Here is a 13,665-nt window from a genome sequence, read left to right on the forward strand (position 1 = left end):
CCAGCCTGGGCGACGAGCAAAACTCTGTCTCAAAAAAAAAAAACTTTTTTTTTGGCTGGGTGCAGTGGCTCACGCCTATAATACTAGCACTTTGGGAGGCCGAGGTGGGCAGATCACCTGTCAGGAGTTCACGACCAGCCTGGCCAACATGGTGAAACCCCGTCTCTACTAAAAATACAAAAGCATGGTGGTGTGCACCTGTAATCCCAGCTACTCATGAGGCTGAGACAGAAGAATCACTTGAACCCAGGAGGCGGAGGTTGCACTGAGCTGAGATCGCGCCACTGCGCTCCAGCCTGGGTGACAGAGCAAGACTCCATCTCAAAAAACAAAACAAAACAAAACAAAACAAAAACTCAACCGTAACATTGTTTAAGCCTCTGAAACAGAGCCCTTTTCTTTTCCTCTTCAAGAAAAAATGGCTGGAGTGATTTGGCCTGCTACAGAGGAAACTGGTATTCTCTGTACTTGGTACAAGGTTCTAGCACCTGGCTGTTACTACTCCTGGGTGGGCCATAATTTTAAGAGGAAGTGGACCTCTGCCATCATCTTATCCTGGGGTTTTCCACCTGCGCTGCTCAGAACCTGTACTTGATTCAGCTAGAACAACTCTGGCTTTTATGTATATGTTACTATATATTTATGAGTATATATTTTCCATTGTCCCTTGGAATCCATGGAGGATTGGTTCCAGGACCCCCTACTGATACTTAAATCATTAGATACTCTAGTTCCTTCTATAAAATGGTGCAGTATTTGCATATAACCTGAGCCCATACTCCCATATACTCTATTTATTTGAGGGTTTTTTTTTTCTCTTCCCCACCCTCTCCATATTTGTTTTTTAAGACAGTCTCATTCTGTTACCTATGCTGGAGTGCAGTGGTGCAATCATGGTTCACTGTAGCCTCGACCTCCTGGGCTCAAGCAATCCTCCTGCCTCAGCCTCCTGAGTAGCTGAGACCACAGGGACACATCACTATGCCTGGCTAATTTTTTACATTTATTTATTTATTTATTTTATTATTTTGGTAGAGATGGGGTCTCTGCATGTTTCCCAGGATCTGGGCTCCCATCTCCTTAACAAATTAAAATGAAGGCGGAGAGAGTAGAACCAGTGAGCCTTTGTGGAGGCTCTATATAAAGATGAGACTTGGGCATTTATCACCTTTGTTTTCTGTCTCTTCCCATCAGGAGAAGTTGCCCCAGTGCAAGGCACTGCATTCGACCTGAGAAAGCCAGTGGAGCTTGGAAAACACCTGCAGGACTTCCATCTCAATGGTTTTGACCACAATTTCTGTCTGAAGGGATCTAAAGAAAAGCATTTTTGTGCAAGGTCAGGTACTTTTCACTTCCTGAGTCTGTAAGGAAGAAATGACACCAAGTCCTATTTTCCTTTGGAGCTTTTCCTCTGGCCATATCAATAGCATTTACTATGCTACAAGTGACCCAATACCACATCCCATATTTTCTCAAAGCTCCCATGGCACAGGTGAGCTCTGTAGAATTTATCCCAGTCCCCCACCTGCCATTACCCCTATTCCCCCTGCTTGGCACCCGCTCTCTCCCTCTCTGCCTGTTCTTTAAGGCCCATTTTCTGTTAGAAGCCTTAACTCTTCCTAGTGAAGTCACCTCGGCTGTCACTGAACTTCCAGAGCCTTTGTGCTTTCTCGATCTGTGACTTATGCCTGCCTACTCCATGGCCAGTTGGAGGCTAGGCATCTCCTGCAGCACTCACCGCCTCCAGCCTTGACCGATAGACACTTGTGTGCACGCTCTCGCCTTCTCACCAAATCCCAGTTCCTCATGCCATTTCATCTTTGTGAAGCCCTACCTCTACCCCAACACCTAATATCATCCTTGGCACTAGCAAATAATGAATAAATGTTTGCAGAATTAACAGTTTTGTGTGTGTGCGTGTGTGTGACGGAGTCTTGCTCTGTCGCCCAGACTGGAATGCAGTGGTGCGATCTAGGTTTACTGCAACCTCCGCCTCCCGGGTTCAAGTGATTCTCCTGCCTCAGCCTCCTGAGTAGCTGGGATAACAGGCACGTGCCACTATGCCCAGCTAATTTTTGTATTTTTAGTAGAGATGGGGTTTCACAATGTTGGTCAGGCTGGTCTTGAACTCCTGACCTTGTAATCCACCCACCTCGGCCTCCCAAAGTGCTGGGATTACAGGTGTAAGCCACTGCACCCGGTCAACAGTTTTTAAATAAAGCAGAAAAAATGACTCAAACCAAATAGTGACAGAAAGAAGATCAAAGACCTTCTCCGGGCTGGGCGTGGTGGCTCATGCCTGTAATCCCAGCACTTTAGGTGGCTGAGGTGGGCAGATCACTTGAGGTCAGGAGTTTGAGACCAGCCTCGCCAACATGGTGAAACGCCGTCTCTACTAAAAATATAAAAATTAGCCAGGCATGGTGGTGGGCACCTATAATCTCAGCTACTCAGGAGGCTGAGGCAGGAGAATCACTTGAACCCAGGGGGTGGAAGTTGTAGTGAGCCGAGATCACGCCACTGCACTCCAGGCTAGGCAACAGAGCAAAACTCCATCTCAAAAAAAAAAAAAGAATCTCAGGCCAGGTGCAGTGGCTCTCATGCCTGTAATCCCAGCACTTTTGGAGGCTGAGGTGGTCAGATCACCTGAGGTCAGTAGTTCAAGACCAGTTGGGCCAACATGATGAAACCCCGACAATACTAAAAGTACAAAAAATTAGCCGGATGTGGTGGCAGGTACCTGTAATCCCAGCTACTCTAGAGGCTGAGGCAGGAGAATTGCTTTAACCAAGGGGGCGGAGGTTGCAGTGAGCCAAGATCGCACCACTGCACTCCTCCCTGGGTGACAGAGCCAGACTCCATCTCAAAACAAACAAACAAACAAAAATTAGCTGGACATGGTAGTGCGCACCTGCAGTCCCAGCTACTGGGGAGCTGAAGTGGGAGAATTGCTTGAGCCCGGGAGGCTGAGGTTGCAGTGAGCCGAGGTCGCGCCACTGCACTCCAGCCTGGGCAATAGAGAAAGACTCTATTTCAAAAAAAAAAAAAAAAAAAAAAAGAATCTCAGCCTCTCCAGGACCTTCCTCTCTCCAACCTGGCTGCTGCCTTCCTCCCTACTCCCCAGCTGGCAGGAGTGAGTCTGTTTTGTGATGCCCCAAAGAAGCTACTGAGGATCCTGAAAGCCACCTGCTCATGCCTTGCCTTTGAGACTGGAAGAATTTTCCATCATGCTCTTCCTACCTTCATCTCCTCCTTATATCTTGTCCCTGCTCTGTGGCTGGGTCTGATTCCTGTCTCAAAGCCGCTTCCCAGCTTCTACTCCTCCCCACCTGCTTTTCTGCCCTGGACTCATGTTGTTTGTATTTCTTACCAGGGTGCATCATGCTGCAAGCGGGCGGGTACTAGAAGTATACACCACCCAGCCCGGGGTCCAGTTTTACACGGGCAACTTCCTGGATGGCACATTAAAGGGCAAGAATGGAGCTGTCTATCCCAAGCACTCCGGTTTCTGCCTGGAGACTCAGAACTGGCCTGATGCAGTCAATCAGGTAATGCCACAGGCTGGCTTTTCAGAGTAGAGTTGTGTCCAAGGTCACACTGTACGACAGAGTTCACTACACTCGAATCAGCTTGTATGATTCAAAAGTTCATGCTTTGTTTGTTTGGTTTGTTTTTTGAGACAGAGTCTCACTCTTGTCGCCTAGGCTGTAGTGCAGTGGCACGATCTCAGCTCACTGCAACCTCCGCCTCCTGGGCACGATCTCAGCTCACTGCAACCTCCGCCTCCTGGGTCCAAGCGATTCTCCTGCCCCAGCCTTCCAAGTAGCTAGGATTACAGGCGCCTACCACCATGCCTGCTTAATTTTTGTATTTTTAGTAGAGACAGGGTTCCACCATGTTGGCCAGGCTGGTCTCAAAACCCCTGACCTCAGGTGATCCACCTGCCTTGGCCTCCCAAAGTGCTAGGATTATAGGCGTGAGCCACTGTGCCCGGCTCAAAAGTTCATGCTTATTCTCTTCTGCAAGTCACAGAAAACCCATAGCCAAGCTACTAACATGGGATTTACATGGTTTTAAGAAAGCTGAAATTTTGTACCTTCAAAGCCTTTATCCAGTTTGTTTCTCCTTAACAATACCTTCTCGTTTTCTGCAGCCACACTTAAGGAGAGCTTCCATATCGTCTCCTCCTATGTGCTCCCTCATAACTTTCTTTTCTGGTTGTTACCCAGAGCAGTACTCCTGAAAGTGCCAGCCCACAATAAGAAGCTTGCACCTTGGGCTGGGCAAGGTGGCTCATGCCTGTAATCCCAGCACTTTGGGAGGCTGAGGCGGGAGGATTGCTTGAGCCTGAGATTGAGGCTAACCTGGGCAACACAGGGAGACCCCATCTTTACAGATTATTAGAAAAATTAGCCAGGTGTGGTAGTGCACACCTGTGGCCCCAGCTACTTGGGAGGCTGAGGTGGGAGGATCCCTGAGCCTGGGAGGTCAAGGCTGCAGTGAGCCATGATCACACCACTGCACTCCAGCCTGTGCAACAGAATGAGACCCTGTCTTTAAAAAAAAAAAAAAAAAAGGGCCAGGTGCGGTGGCTCACACCTGTAATCCCAGCACTTTGAGAGTCTGAGGCAGGTGTATCACTTGAGGTCAGGAGTTCGAGACCAGCCCGGTCAACATGACAAAACCCTGTCTCTAGTAAAAATAAAAAAATTATCTGGGCATGGTGGCAGGTGCCTGTGATCCCAGCTACTCTGGAGGCTGAGGCAGGAGAATCGCTTGAACCCAGGAAGCGGGGTTTGCAGTGAGCTGAGATCGCCCCACTGCACTCCAGCCTGGGCAACAGAGCAAGACTCCATCTCAAAAAAAAAAAAAAAAAGCCTACACCTTACACCAGATTATAGATCAACACACTGCTTCCCTTCATCAGGAAAGCCTTCCTTTAACAAAGTGTGCTTTTTTCACTCTGATTAAAGTTCTTTATCTCACTATGAACCAATCATAAACAGTTCCCGCACTGGCAGCCATCCACAGAGCACTGGTCTAGAAGCCCGTCCAGAAGCACACCCAAATGGTTAATGTTGCAGCCTGCGGTGTCAAGCATCACCTGTGTTGTTTCCCCTTCACAGCCCCGCTTCCCTCCTGTGCTGCTGAGGCCTGGTGAGGAGTATGACCACACCACCTGGTTCAAGTTTTCTGTGGCTTAAGGAAGTGTGAAGATATGATCCAGTCCAGGGCTAGGCTCAGCCACCTGTCTCCTGTCCAGAAAAAAGGTGAAGATTAAGAAGCTTTCAGAATGATTCTATGGATTAAAATCATACAAATGGTGGCTGTTCTGAGAATCAGTCTGGGTATTGATTTCCTTTTCCAGTGACTGGCTCCAGGCCATGTCTAATGACCAGCTCGATTCCCTGTGCAGTTCAGAGGGCAAGTGAACCCAACCAACAATGTCGTCATCTAAGCCCTGACCCTAGCCAGGGACTCCCATGCTGCTGTTGGCTCCATCTCTCCACACTGCCTCTTTCTTTTCAACTTTTTGCCCTTCCTTTCTTTAAAGCTATTCTCACATTGCTTTTATTTCCTCCTCCTTCACCTCCAACCACTGTCAGCAGCACTCTGGAGTTTTCAAATGTCACATTAGCCTCACCCTGCATGCTAGGAGATGGACCTGTCTCTATACAGCAGTAGATGATTGATAAGTGAGGAAACTGAGGCTTACAGAGGTTGAAGACCAACAAGCTAATAAATAAAAAGTTGAGGCCGGGCACGGTGGCTCACGCCTGTAATCCCAGCACTTTGGAAGGCCGAGGCAGGCGGATCACGAGGTCAGGAGATCGAGACCATCCTGGCTAACACGGTGAAACCCCGTCTCTACATAAAAAATTAGCTGGGTGTGGTAGCACGCACCTGTAGTCCCAGCTACTTGGGAGGCTGAAGCAGGAGAATCGCTTGAACCTGGGAGGTGGAGGTTGCAGTGAGCCGAGATCATGCCACTGCACTGGGCAACAGAGCAAAACTCGATCTCAAAAAAAAAAAAAAAAAAAAGGAAAAAAAAGCAGCTCTCTCTCTCGGGAGAGGGAGGGGACTTCCGAGAGGAAAAGGCCTGCAAGAGCCTTTGGGTTAACTGAGAAAGCACAGCCCGGCCAACGCTTGGGAAGAAAGACAGGCAAGCACTGGAAACAGGAGCTATTAGGGTGAGGAGAGAGCCTTGCCTTTCACAGCACAGTGAGGATGACATTGCACCAGGGACAGAGATTGTATGTGACAAGGCTGGGGCTCCTTCTTTCCTAGACAATCAAAGTATCAGTGATGGGTTTTGGTTGGTGATTTTGAAAAAAAAAAAAAAAAGTATGTTATACTAGTGTATGCTGTACTGAATTGAAATAAAACCAAAATCTGCATCTTCAGAAGACTTGTTCCTTTACTCAGCTTGAAATCTCTCAGGCGTGGACCTTTGGGAAATGGACCAAGAATATGGGTGTGTTCTGGATTCTACTTTGCCCTCCAGTGGGAGCCCTGGCATTTTCCTACCTAACAGTTAGGAAAGCTATCTCAGTGGAAGTAGCTTTCCACACCTCCTCTTTCTTTGTAACCGATAATAAACCAAAGATCTTGTTTATTTTTTAATTCACTTCAGCATGGATTTTTCTGAGCACCTGCTCTGTACACAGCCCTCTGCTGGGTCTGTGAAGGGATTCAGGTCAGGTGTGATGCTGCCCACAGCAGCCAGTCAGGTGAGGTACATGCTCAGTTGTCTTCTCACTGGTGAGGTTAACTTTGGTGACTTGAGCAAGATGCTGCCTGCAGATCTCTCCACTCTTATTAAAGTTACCAATATATACATTAGCCAAGAGGCCTCAGAGGTGAACTATTAAGCTGACTGCAACCTAGCTACCAATTTGATTATTAAATTGTTCGACGCAGGGTTCTCATACTCTAGGTGCCAGCAATCATTTAGGAAATCCCAGAGAAGAAGAGAATGAACATTTTCTTATTCACAAGTGTAGAGTTGCCAGTTGCCCCTGCTTTCTGTATCCTGACCAAAAGTCACAGAGTGCCTTGACCTTTGTCACCTAGCCAGCTGCAGATTTTTCCTAGCAGGCTTGAACCCAAACCGGGCCTTGAACATTCCCAGGCACTGATAAATCTGTCTAGGTTGTTCCCTAAAACACTAAAAGAAACTGGCACTGGGCCGGGCGCAGTGGCTCACGCCTGTAATCCCAACACTTTGGGAGGCCGAGGCGGGTGGATCACCTGAGATCAGGCATTCAAGACCAGCCTGGCCAACATGGTGAAACCCCGTCTCAACTAAAAAAAAAAAAAAAAATACAAAAAAATTAGCTGGGCATGGTGGCGGGTGCCTGTAATCTCAGTTAGTCGGGAAGCTGAAGCAGGAGAATTGCTTAAGCCCAGGAGGCGGAGGTTGCAGTGAGCCAAAATCATGCCATTGCACTCCAGCCTGGGTCACAGCAAGACTCTCATTGCACTCCAGCCTGGGTGACAGCAAGACTCTGTCTCAAAAAAAAAAAAAAAAAAAAAGAAAAAGAAAAAAGAAACTGGCTCTGGCCCTGAGCCAAATTCCTTTAACTGTCATAGAAACTCCCTCACTGCTGATATACCTGGGCAGAACACCCCTTTTCTCTCTCAACCATTGCTGCAGCACTCTGTAAGGAAGTTCCTCTAATAAATGCTTTGGATTGATCACCCTGGCGCTTAGAGCTTCTTTCTTTGAAATCCCAGCCGGCCCTATCTCGAGATAGTTTGGATCACTCCCTGATGGGGTCTCCCCTGCTGCCACTATGGGGGCGATTCCAGCCCTGGATCCACTGAGACAAAACAAAGAAATGTAACAACTACAAACTAGTTCTTAATGTAATGGCCTCTAGGTTTGAGAATGCCAAATTAATTAATTAATTAGCCAAATACTTTGTTTTCTTCTGTCCAAAAAGATTATTGTTTTTATAAGAAGCCAAGTCTACAGTAGTCCAAGTAAGGATATTCATTGCCTGTAGGGCAGCTGAAATAAGTTACTGGCCTTTAAATTAATGGTGTTTATAAAAGCAAGTAAAAAAGGCGGCCAGGCGCTGTGGCTCACATCTGTAATCCCAGCACTTTGGGAGGCCAAGGTGGGTGGATTGCCTGAGGTCAGGAGTTTGAGACCAGTCTGGCCAACCAGGTGAAACCTGGTTTGAGACCAGTCTGGCCAACCGTCTCTACTAATAATACAAAAAAATTAGCTGGGCGTGGTGGCATGCACCTGTAATCCCAGCTACTCAGGAGGCTGAGAGAGGGAAATTGCTTGAACCAGGGAAGTGGAGGTTGGAGTGAGCCGAGATCTCGCCACTGCACTCCAGCCTGGGCGACAGAGCGAGACTCTGTCTTAAAAAAAAAAAAGGCTACATTTGTCACACCATGCATCTGAGGGAAGCAAAAATTTAGAGAAACTCTTTTTGTGGCAGCAACCAATCTGTCCTTTTTCATGAAACACATAACTTTGCTTGAGAAGCCCTTCCATGTGCTTATAAGACATAGATTGTGACATGTGACAGCATGTCAGCATAATTGGGTGATTTTATGATAAAATCGCTGAAGGCCCCAGCAAGAAGTAAAATTTTAGAAGGTGCTGGACGCGGTGGCTCACGCCTGTAATCCCAGCAGTTTGGGAGGCCAAGGCGGGTGGATCACTAGGTCAGGAGTTCAAGACCAGCCTGGCCAAGATGGTGAAATCCCGTCTCTACTAAAAACACAAAAATTAGCCAGGCATGGTGGCAGGTGCCTGTAATCCCAGCTACTCAGGAGGCTGAGGCAGATAACTGCTTGAACCTGCGAAGCGGAGGTTGCAGTGAGCCTAGATTGCACCACTGCACTCCAGCCTGGGTTACAGAGCAAGACTGTCTCAAAAATAAAAAATTGTACAAGGTGAGATGTCATATTAAAATAATTACACAAACACTGCTGTGAAGACTAAGATGTCATGCTGTGGAGGTGGAACTGGAGAGTTTACGAAAAGTAGAACATGGAAAAAAATGCAGGACTACCAGCACAGGGCAGGAAGGAAGCTCAGCATGTGTCCTGGTCCCCGGCCAGTTCCCATTTTCACTCTTAACCATTTTAAGCAATTGGATCACCAGTTTTCAAGAGGCTGTTTGGACAGGAGTGCAATCCTTTCCCAATCAAGGCATTTCCTGCTTAACTCAGTTACGCAGATCATCATTAAAGTCTCGTGCTTTGGGCAGCACTTCCAGCTACAGTCAGGCAAGGACGTCAGCAAATCCTCTCCTTATTATAGTTCGAGCAATTAAAATGCTGAAAAAATTGGACGAAACATTTTTTTTGTTGTTTATAGAGATGGGGGGTCTTACTATGTTGCCCAGGTTGGTCTTGAATTCCTGCCCTCAAGCAATCCCCCCTCCAGCCTCAGCCTCCTAAGTACCTGCAACTATAAGCACGCACCACTACTCCCAGCTCAAAACAATTTTGGTGTTCTGGAAACAGACATAAAACCTTCCAGTCTGAGATATGTTGTCTGAAAAACTACTGAGCTTTGAGTAGGAATAGTGGGAGTCTGTAGTGTTCTTGCCTGGGGCTGTTCGTATCCCCCTCACTCCTCCAACTCAGTAATTGTGAAGGTTCTGCTGAGGCAAAACAGAACATGAGGACAAGCAAGCAGCTGTGGTTGAAAGAGGGTTTACTCCATTTGGAGGTGTGAGTGGCAGCCATACCCAAACCATCATCAATGGAAGTAACAATCCCAGTGCTGTGCAGGCAGGGAGGGCTTATGGCTCTACTGGCCTGAGGTTGCAGTCGTGGCTGCAAGCAGATTTTTGGCTGATCGGAGGCTGGGTACATGTGCAACAGAGATGAAGGGCTCAACAAAAAGTAAAACTTAAGATAGACTTGAAAGCAGCCTGAATATTAAAATTACTCACCTACCTACACAAAGATCCATCAGCAGAGGACAGAAGTCTGACTGGTTGAGGTGTCAGCACAAACTCTCCAGAAAGTGGCTGCCCCCTAAGCTGTGCAGACACAAGGCAACCCCCTAGAATTTTAAAATAAGCATAAGAAGCTGGGCATAGGGGTTCATGCCTGTAGTCCCAGCTACTCAGGAGGCTGAGACAGGAGGCTTGTTTGAGCCCAGGAGTTCAAGACTATAGTATACTATGATCCCACCTGTGAATAGCCAACTGCACTGCAGCCTGGACAACACAGGGAGACTGTCTTTTAAAAGATAAACACAAGAATGTTGAAAACAAAAACAAAAACAAAAAAACTGGAGATTATAAAAAGGAATCAAGTAGGCTGGGGCCAATGGCTCACGCCTGTAATCCCAGCACTCTGGGAGCCCGAGGCAGGCAGATCACCTGAGGCCAGAAGTTTGAGACCAGCCTGGCCAACATGGCAAAACCCAATCTGTACTAAAAATGCAAAAATTAGCTAGGTGTGGTGGTGCACACCTGTAATCCCAGCCACTTGGGAGGCTGAGCCAGGAGAATTGCTTGAACCTGGGAGGCGGAGGTTGCAGTAAGCTGAGATCATGCCACTGCACTCCATCCTGGGTGACAGAGTGAGACACTACCTCAAAAAAAAAAAAAAGGGAATCAAGTAGAAGTTTGTTGAAAACAGTATAATGATGCATAAGAAGTTAACTAGAGAGGCCAGGCACAATGGCTCACACCTGTAATCCCAGCACTTTGGGAGGCTGAGGTGGGCGGATCACTTGAGGACAGTAATTCAAGACCAGCCTGGTCAACCTGGTGAAACCCCATCTCTACTAATACTACAAAAATTAGCCAGGCATCACCATGTGCCTGTGCCTGTAATACTGGGAGGCTGAGGCACGAGAATCACTTGAACCCGGGAGGCAGAGGTTGCAGTGAGCCAACATCACGCCACTGCACTCCAGCCTGGGCAACACAGTGAAACTGTCTCAAAAAAAAACAAAACAAAACAAAAAAAAAGTTAACTAGAGAGAGTCAGAAGTAGATTTGAGACAGCAGAAGAAAGAGTAAGTGAACTTGAAGGTAGATTAATAGGAATTATTCAACCTGAAAAACAGAAAAGAGATTGAAGAAAACTGAACAGAACCTCAGAGACCTGTGAGAAAACAAGCACATGAGCGTATGAGTAATGGGAGTCCAAAGAGAGGGACAAAAAAAAATAATGGCAAAAAACTTCCAAATTTGATGAAAACCAATTATCTATAAATCTAAGAAGCTCAACAAACTTCAAGAATAGAGATTCCCATCTAGATACACCAAACTGTTGATACATTTAAACTGCTGAATGTCAAAAGCAAACAAAATTTGAAAGCAGCAGGAGAAAAATGACTCCTCGCTACAGGGGACCACCAGCACCAGTACAATTAACAGCTGACTTCTCATCTGGAACAATGGAGCCCAGAATGCCGTGGAATGACATGGTCAAAGTGCTTCAAAACCAGAGATTCAATTATCACCCAGAACTATCCTTCAAAAGCAAAGGTGAAATAAAGACTAGGGAATTCATTGCTAGCAAGCCTGCCTTATGAGAAATACTAGAGGAAGTCCTCCATACTGAAATTACACCAGAATCCATGGAAAGAAATAAAGAAGATCAGAAATAGTAAATATATGGATTAATAAGACATTGTATTTTTTCATTTATTCTCTTAAAAGACATAAGATTAGCCGGGCATGGTGGCTCACGCCTGTAATCCCAGCACTTTGGGAGGCTGAGGCAGGTGGATCACAAGGTCAAAAGATCAAGACCATCCTGGCCAACATGGTGAAACCCTGTCTCTACTAAAATTACAAAAATTAGCTGGGCATGGTGGCACGTGCCTGTAGTCCCAGCTACTCAGGAGGCTGAGGCAGGAGGACTGCTTGAACCCAGGAGGCAGAGGTTGCAGTGAACCAATATCATGCCACTGCACTCCAGCCTGGCAACAGAGTGAGACTCCGTCTCAAAAAAAAAAAAAAAAAAAAGACGTTAAGATTACACAAAGCAATACTTGTAACACAGTAGTATCAAGTTTAGAATACATAAATATAGCATAAAAGAGGGAAGAGTAAAAGGAAACAGCATTGGAGTGTAATTTCTATATTTTACCAGAGTATTAATCAGAACTAGATTGTGGTAAGATTCAACCACTAACTAAAAAATAGTTTTAAAAAATCAAGAGGAATTAAGTAACACACTTAATTTTTTATACTAAAAAAAATATTTAGGCCAGACATGGTGGCTCATGCCTATAATCCCACCACTTTGGGAGGTCGAGGCGGGTGGATCACCTGAGCTCAGGGGTTTGAAACCAGCCTGGCCAACGTGGTGAAACCCCATCTCTACTAAAAATACAAAATTAGCCGGGCGTGGTGGCTCACACCTGTAATCCCAGCACTTTGGGAGGCTGAGGTGGGTGGATCACCTGAGGTCGGGAATTTGAGACCAGCCTGATCAACATGGAGAAACCCCGTCTCTACTAAAAATACAAAATTAGCCAGGGGTGGTGACACATGCCTATAATCCTAACTACTCAAGAGGCTGAGGCAGGAAAATAGCTTGAACCCGGGAGGTGGAAGTTGCGGTGAGCGAAATCGCGCCACTGCACTCCAGGCTGAGCAACAAGAGCAAAACTCTGTCTCAAAAAAAAAAAAAAAAAATTCTGAATAGAATGTTAACTTTTTTTTAAAGATGATTATTTCTTTGAGCACAGCGACCTCTACTGGTACTAATATAAATTAAAATGCAGTTTCTGTTTTTTTCAGTTTCCTTTCCAGCATGGGATCATTTGGAGACAGAGAAACCTAGAGGACAATAGCAGAATCCTTTGATTCACATGTGAGTGCTGCTACTTCCTTATTATAGTAGAATAAACCAGGCCAATCTTCCAATAACTAACACCACTTCCAGAGCAGTGGTTTTCAATTCTGGTTGCGTATTAGAAGAACCAGGGGAGAAGCGAGGCACTGTGGCTCACACCTGTAATCCTAGCACTTACGGAGGCCAAGGCCGGTGGAATGCTTAAGCCCAGGAGTTTGAGACCCACCTAAGCAACATGGTGAAACCCCATCTTTAAGAAAAAAATACAAAAATTAGCTGGGTGTGGTGACATGTGCCTGTAGTCCCAGCTACTCAGGAGGCAGAGGCAGGAGGATCACCTGAGCCCAGGAAGTCAAGGCAGCGATCATGCCACTGCACTCCAGCCTGGGTGACAGATGCTGTCTCAGAAATCACCAGGTGAAATTTTTACATTAATACCCAGGCTTCACCCTCAGTGATTCTTTCATTTGAATGTCTTTAAGCACCCTGGGTGATTTTAGTCTGCAACTAGCAATCAGAACCACTACCCTAGAGTAAAAGCTTTCCCTAGTATGGTCTCATTCATCCATTTTACGGTAAGTCCGTAAATGCGTTTGGCTAGAATTTGCCCCCGAGCTTCACAAAGCACTTCAAGGAAAGAGTCCTGGATAAGTCAGGCTTCCCAGACCAAAAGTCTATCTTGGTAAGGCCCTGGCAACTCTACAAATAATCTTGGTACCCAAGATCTCCAGAGATAAAATTGTTTTGAAAGTTGTAAAGTTGAAGACACATATCTAAACCAGGGGCTGGCAAATATTGTCTGTAAAATGAAAAGGAGAGTAGATTTTACAGGCTTTGTTGGACTTTGTCACAACCACTCAACTCCAC

The 13,665-nt window shown here is 46.3% G+C and overlaps 1 protein-coding gene and 1 long non-coding RNA gene across 4 annotated transcripts in view, besides 1 other annotated feature; one reads left to right on the forward strand and one right to left on the reverse strand.

Annotated features, from left to right (window-relative positions):
* LOC124905993 (uncharacterized) overlaps window positions 1-5,189 on the reverse strand; it is a 49,668-nt gene extending 44,479 nt beyond the window's left edge. For both annotated transcript variants that reach the window (XR_007086292.1, XR_007086291.1), the window contains exon 1: window positions 5,105-5,189. This is a non-coding gene — a long non-coding RNA (uncharacterized LOC124905993). The remainder of the gene's footprint in view (window positions 1-5,104) is intronic.
* The window catches only part of GALM (galactose mutarotase), a 68,652-nt gene extending 62,248 nt beyond the window's left edge, over window positions 1-6,404 (forward strand). Inside the window, exons 5-7 of one of the 2 annotated variants that reach the window (NM_138801.3) lie at window positions 1,195-1,336; window positions 3,374-3,548; window positions 5,127-6,404. In NM_138801.3, the coding sequence (NP_620156.1) occupies window positions 1,195-1,336; window positions 3,374-3,548; window positions 5,127-5,204 (395 nt within the window). In that variant the 3' untranslated portion in view covers window positions 5,205-6,404. Of the gene's footprint in view, window positions 1-1,194; window positions 1,337-3,373; window positions 3,549-5,126 lie in introns of those variants that run through there. The other variant, XM_047443419.1, reaches the window with a different exon arrangement.
* Window positions 12,477-12,649: a silencer, noted in NCBI's record as "fragment chr2:38967980-38968152 (GRCh37/hg19 assembly coordinates)". NCBI's record gives its function as "represses an EF-1alpha promoter that drives an FKBP-Casp9 reporter gene in an ReSE screen in HepG2 liver carcinoma cells {active_cell/tissue: HepG2}" and the evidence as "EXISTENCE:reporter gene assay evidence [ECO:0000049][PMID:32094911]".

Source organism: Homo sapiens, chromosome 2 (genome assembly GCF_000001405.40).
Source record: "Homo sapiens chromosome 2, GRCh38.p14 Primary Assembly".
Lineage (NCBI taxonomy): Eukaryota > Metazoa > Chordata > Mammalia > Primates > Hominidae > Homo > Homo sapiens.